Source organism: Homo sapiens, chromosome 12 (assembly GCF_000001405.40).
Source record: "Homo sapiens chromosome 12, GRCh38.p14 Primary Assembly".
NCBI classification, from domain to species: domain Eukaryota; kingdom Metazoa; phylum Chordata; class Mammalia; order Primates; family Hominidae; genus Homo; species Homo sapiens.
Window position 1 is genome coordinate 108,726,562 of NC_000012.12, and position 6,259 is coordinate 108,732,820.

At 48.3% G+C, this 6,259-nt stretch overlaps 1 protein-coding gene across 2 annotated transcripts in view, besides 4 other annotated features; it reads right to left on the reverse strand.

Annotated features, from left to right (window-relative positions):
- The window catches only part of CORO1C (coronin 1C), an 86,410-nt gene extending 81,453 nt beyond the window's left edge, over positions 1-4,957 (reverse strand). The window contains exon 1 of one of the 2 annotated variants that reach the window (NM_014325.4): positions 4,868-4,957. The gene's annotated coding sequence lies outside the window, so the exon portion shown is untranslated. Of the gene's footprint in view, positions 1-4,061; positions 4,283-4,867 lie in introns of those variants that run through there. The other variant, NM_001276471.2, reaches the window with a different exon arrangement.
- Positions 4,236-4,515: a silencer, noted in NCBI's record as "silent region_4831". NCBI's record gives its function as "represses an Ori minimal core promoter by ATAC-STARR-seq in GM12878 lymphoblastoid cells {active_cell/tissue: GM12878}" and the evidence as "EXISTENCE:reporter gene assay evidence [ECO:0000049][PMID:35858748]".
- Positions 4,706-5,215: a silencer, noted in NCBI's record as "silent region_4832". NCBI's record gives its function as "represses an Ori minimal core promoter by ATAC-STARR-seq in GM12878 lymphoblastoid cells {active_cell/tissue: GM12878}" and the evidence as "EXISTENCE:reporter gene assay evidence [ECO:0000049][PMID:35858748]".
- Positions 4,706-5,631: a biological region, named in NCBI's record as "H3K27ac hESC enhancer GRCh37_chr12:109125165-109125968".
- Positions 4,828-5,631: an enhancer, noted in NCBI's record as "H3K27ac hESC enhancer chr12:109125165-109125968 (GRCh37/hg19 assembly coordinates)". NCBI's record gives its function as "activates a minimal SCP1, AML or CMV promoter by ChIP-STARR-seq in primed H9 embryonic stem cells {active_cell/tissue: H9 hESC(primed)}" and the evidence as "EXISTENCE:reporter gene assay evidence [ECO:0000049][PMID:30033119]".

Genomic DNA, 6,259 nt, shown 5'->3' on the forward strand with positions numbered 1-6,259 from the left:
CACTTTCGGAGGCTAAGGTAGGAGACTTGCTTGAGCCCAGGAGTTCAAGACCAGCCTATACAACATAGTGAGACCCCATCTCTACAAAACATTAAAAAAAAAAAAAAAGAATGAAAAGAAAGTACACACCCTTAAAATCCAATTTACAACCATTCTCATGAGTGTGACAGGGGTAGTTCCAGTACTAACTGACCAAATACTATCAGGGTCGGCCTGTATGCATTTGGTGTGACTAAATCGTGTTCGCTGGCCATCTACCCTACTGAGGAGACTGTGCGCCAGTCATTACTGTTCATCGGGGGAAAGAACCTGGACGAGAATGTTCTGCCATTGGGGAAATGTTTTAAACACTCAGTTTTACATTTGAGCACTTTTTGGTAAGAGCTGGACTTGGATGCCAGAAGGGCAAAAGGGAGTTACCCCATTCATGTTATTTTAACATAGGCAATAAAGACATTCATGATAATCAGAGAAACCCACTGACCTCAGGATCTTTCCAGTTAACTTCAATAAACAATCATTCATTCAGCGAATATCCAGTAGGCACTAATGACCAAGCCATGAACAAGAGAATCTCAGTCTGCCTTCCATGTGAATTGCTCTATTGCATTCTGCCTTGTATGGAAAGGCACCTTTCAGACTATTAGCTCAAATTCAGGTCCAGTTCTTTGTAGCAAACAGTCCTGATGAATGTACAATACATGAGGGCAGGGACAAATGTCTGCCTGTGAGATGAGGAAGTTTTCATGGAGGAAAAACCTCATGACCCATGTCCCAAAGGACAAGTGGGATTCTAGAAGTAGAAAGGCGATGAAGTAATAAATTCATCACAAGATTTGAAAGCTGGGATGTTTCAGGGAGTGGCACTAGAGATGAAGACATTGGAAGGGGAATAGTGAGAAATAAAGCAGGCTGAAATCAGAGCCCACCTTACTCCACACCTCATTAAGGAGTCTGAACTTTATTTTGTGGGTAAAGGTGAGGTCACCAGAGGATTTGAACAGGTGAATGGCATGTTCCCTGATGAATCCTTTTTCATCTATAGCATACCTTAAAATATATTAATTCAAACCTTTCCCCAGTCCTCTCACATTTGGGTTTCAACTTATATAACCAAAATATTGAGGAGGGTGTGGTTTAAGGTCTAATTTCTAACTAGTAAGACCCCACTATTCATAAATTGGAAATCATCAAAATTTAAAATCTTTGTTCCTAAAAAGGGGCACCATCAAGAAAATGAAAGGACATGTCAGAATCCAAGAAAATTTTTGCAAATCATACAGCTGATAAGGCACTTGAATCTAGAATACATGAACAACTTTTATAACACCAATAAAAAGACAACCCATTAAAAAACGGGCAGAGCATTTGAATGGACATTTCTCCAAAGATTACACATACAAATGTTCACCAACCACATGAAAAGATGCTCAACATCATTAGCCATTAGGGAAACACAGATGACTAGAATCAAAAAGTCAGAGAGTAACAAGTGTTGGCAAGAATGTGGAGAATTTAGAACCTTCATATACTCTTGGTGAATACCGTAAAATGGTGCAGCTGCTTTGGAGAAGTCTGGCCATTCCTCCAATAGTTAAATATAGAGTTACCATACAACCCATCGATTACATTCCTAGGTAAATACTCAGGAGAAATGAAAACGTATGTTCACAGCATTATTCATAATAGCCAAAAAGGAAAAACACCCAAATGTTCATCAACTGATGAATGGATAAACAAAATACGGCATATCCAAACAATGGAATATTATTTGACCATTAAAAAAAAAAAATGAAGTACTATACAATACTACCACACATATAAACCTTGAAAATATGCTAAATAAGGGCAAGACACAAAAGACCACATAGTGTATGATTCCATTTACATGAAACGGGAGGACTTCTAAGGGGTATGGGGTTTCTTTTTGGGGGGGATGAAAATGTTCTAAAATTGACTGTGGTGACAGCTGCACAACTCTGTGAATATACCAAAAACCACAGAACTGTACACTTTAAACGGGTGAACTGTACAGTATGTCTCAATGAAGCTGTTATAAAACAAAAAAAGTTCCATTCTGCACTCTAGAAATACAAAGTACTCAGAAAGGAGTACAGAATCTTGTTCACTCACTTTAAAGGATCTGAACTAGGGCAAAGAAAACCCAGAGAGATTCTATTACTTAACATTCTAGGTACTAGGTCATACTGAAATATTCATGAAGAATTCTGTTTTAATACAGAAAAGGTATCTTAAGTTTAAAAAGACATACAAGTGTCAGAAAAGAGTTTTCATAATTCAAGGAGACAGTAACACAGAGAAGTCATAAATGGAAAACAAGCTTAAGAGGTTTTATCACATGGATTTGTACCTTGAAAATGCAAGTAGCTCTCAAATTTATTATTGCCCCACCCCTGGAAAAGAGGTCAAAGGTAAAACAGACCAATTAATAATATGTTTCTAAAGTACCAGTTTGTGACAAATCAAAATATGAGAAATTAAAATTTTGCCATCATAAAGAAGAGACTCGTCGACATACCCACTTATATAACTAAGAATTGATATTCATCCTTTTGAACATTCCATCTCATAGTCGTTAGAGTGACTCTCTTCCTCATGGTTGGAGTGGATCCCAGAAGTGACAGATAAGTTAAACATAAAACTTTTATCAAAAAATCCAACGGTGTTTAAAAAAATGCTATTCACTGACACCGAATCTAATCCTAAACTATATATAAATAAGTATAAATGCTGATTAGCACAATCTGCAGGCAAAGTAACAAAGGATCATGAAAAAGTCAATATTGTGTGCAGTTATGTTTCATCGGTATGTATCTATTAAAATTCATCAGGCTTTAATGTACCTTCCACAAGTAATCAAAATAAATATGGACAAGATAGGTTCTATATTTGTCAAAAATGTGTGCTCCTGACGTTTATACCAAATCTTTGTCCAATCCTCAGTACACACGACTAACCTCCACCACGAAACACTGCACTTCAAGACCTAAGGTACAACACAATTCTCAGTTTTATTTCACTTTTTTCCCTACTTATTTATGCGATTTCTCAGATCCAATGTTTACTATTATGCTTCATAGCCAAACATTATGACTGTGAAACATACCTCCAAACCAAAAATACTAGTTTCCTTAAATCATCTGAAATGTATAGAACCAAGTCCAAAATAGATTTTGCACATTTCTTCAGTTTTACAGGGAATGCAGAAAGTGAATTAATATTAAACAGGTATCTATTTGCCTTCACAACTGAACAGACGGTACAAAGCAACTGCTTATACTTAATCATGTTTCTGTCTATTCCAGCAGGCCCTGGTGTCAGGAGAACGTTCTGCCAGATAAGGACAATGAGATGCATTATTATATAGAGTGACTAAGAGCCCTACAAGTACTGTTTTAGAATGTAATCCCAGGCAGAAAGGCTGCGGTAAGAGGGCCTAATATTTTGTGGTAACTATTTCCAAAAGTAAATATATTCGCCACCCAGGACCAGTTTATTAAACGCGCACTACATTCAATTCTTTTCAAATGTCTTATAGGAGGGAAAAGCCTTTGTATCTTACCATGCCGGGGGAAATGAACAACTTGCAATTTGCTTCGCACTCTGAATCCCACGTTTGCAACATGTAGAGCAAGCACTTTAGACACCACAAAACAAGGGCAGCCTACATTACGGCCAAATATAGGATGTGTTTCTAAATCGTGATGCAGTAAAGCCTACGATTCCTTTTCCAGCGTTCAAAATCCTTTGAACACTCCCAAAAAAGGATGCCAGGGCCAGCGCCTCCCTCCAAGAGGAAGCCCCTTTCTTCTCAGCTCTCACCGCAGCCTGCCACTTCCCCCAACACATTCAAATCATTTGAGAGACGGAGAGCTGGGGAGCGTGCGCCGGTGGGGACAGGCGGGAGAGCTCGGTTTCTGCATTCCCACCCTCCACGTCTGACCTCATCCTCAGTCATTTCGGCGCAGCGGGGCCCCACCTGCACCTCGCTCCTTTTTACTGCGTCCCTCGCCAGCTGCCCCGCTATTAGGGAAACACACCTCTGAATCACCCAGTTCACTCGGACACCCTGGGCCCCCGATCCGACAGCCTTCCTGCTTCGTTCCTCCCCTCCCAACCCCCAGCCAGTCCCAGCCCTCTGCTCCCTTGGCCGGGCTCAGCCTCTTCCCAAGCCGCCCCCACCCACATTACTCCAGCTCCAGCTCTGCCCCGCCCCGCCTGACCCCCAACCGAGATCTGCAGGGCCCAGAGCTGGTCTCGCACCCAAAGCCAGGAAACCCGCAGGCCAGGCGGCCGCCCTCGCCCCTCCCGACGCAGGGCCCAGCTCGCCCCGGCCCCACGTGAGCCCGGCCCCTACCCGCCCCCACCCACTCGTTCCCTGGGGCGGCCCAAACCCAGTCCCCAGGCCTGGAGCCCCCGGGCTCTACGCCTCGCCCGAAGCAGCCCTTCCCTCCCAGCACCTCGCCCAAGCAGGCGATCCCTGACCCCTAAAAGCCTTCCCTGGGCAGCCTCGTCCCACCTCGGCCCGCGGCTCCGCACCCGGCCAGGAGCGTTCCGGACCTCGAAAGCCTCCTCCCCACAGGGACCCTGCTTCACGCTCCCCACGCCACCTGGTTCGGTCCCCAACTCCCTTTCCCCGAGCCCCCGACAGCAGCCCCCGGCCCTAACCCCTTGCAACCCAGCCCGTGAACCCGCGCCCCGCGCGCCCACCCAGCACTGTCCCCTCCACCTAGCCCTGCCCCTCGCCCCGCCGGCTCCTGTCAGGCGGCGCAGGCACATGCTCAGAGGACAGGTCCGCCCGCCCGACTCGCTCTCAGGCTGCCCCCGCCGGGCGCGAGCCGCTCACCCGGGCCGAGGTGCCTGAGGCGCCGCCGCCGAAGTCCCCGCTGCAAAGCCGGGCGAAGCCTCCAACCGCTGCCGCCTCCAGCCTGGCACTGAGCGCCGTGCGGGGGAGGGGCGCGGGCAGCCGCCACCGCCCCCGCCACCGCGCGTAGGCCCCGCCCCCGCGCCGCGCGGGACCCAACCAGGGCTGCCGGGCCGCTGTGCGCCACGCCCACTTCCGGAGGGGAAGCCCGCTTCCCACCCCACGTTCCACGCCTCGCTACGCCCCCTCTGGTCGCACCGAGGGATGCAGGCGGTGCCCAAGCGCACGCCCCGCTCTCCAGTCATCTGAGTGGTAGAGGGCCACGCCCACAGGCGCCTCCGAGCAACGCCCACTGCTCCTTAGACCCCGGAGCGGGGTTCTTAGAGCCCCGCCCACTGACCCGCTAGGCTCTGCAAGGCCACGTCCCCTGGCTCCTCAAAGATTCCCCCAGAGCCCCTCAATACAGGAACATTAGCTCCTCTGAGCCCCGCGCACTGCCTATCCGAGTCCTTAAACCAGCCTCCTGCTTCCCTAAGCCCGGCTCCCCTCCCACTGCTTCAGAACTCGCCCAGCGGCCTCACAAAGCCCCGCCCCGTCTTCCAGAAGCCCCGCCCAAGGACCGCAACCCTATTCCTAGCATCTCAAGCCCCGCCCACTACCCCATCTCAACGTTTAAACCCCAAGCCCCGCCCCGAATTCGCGAATCCACGCCTCTGGCTCCCGAGGCTCCGCCCTGGCTCCGTCACACCCTACCACCACCTCCCTTGAGGACTGCCGACGTTCCAGCCCTCCCTGAACCGTCCATTGTCACATTCCTAGTGCAGAGTGGCCGCCCCTGGGCTGGGCCACACCCACGTAACCCCAAAGAGGGCCCGTGATTGACCCCATTTCGCAGGTGAGGGAATGGAAACTTCAGGGTTCCTCCCTTCCTTTCCCTGGCCAGAGTCCCTTAATAACTCGGCGGCCCAGGCCTGAAAGTCGGAGCACGGGAATTTGAGCCTCAGCTCTGCGGCCGTCAGACTGTGTGACCTGGGACAGTTCTCTTACCTCTTTGGGCCTGAGTCCCCTAATCTTCAGCATGAAGAAGTTGTCCTGTTAATAGCTAAAGTCCCTTTCTGAAACACCAAGCTCTGAAATACCGAGATTTGAGGAAACAGAGCCTGGGGAACCGAACCGACTGTGGGGTAGGGCTATTTACTTCCCAAAGCAAGGCATCTTTGCCATTCACAGGGGGATTTTTTATTTTAAGCGTCAGCCTCAGAAACGTGTGTTATTTAAATCAAGCTTGACCTGAACTAAGACAGCTATCACAGCAAATTATTTATCCTCTCTAAGGGTCAGTTTCTTTATCTGTAAAATGGGGATAACAGCCCC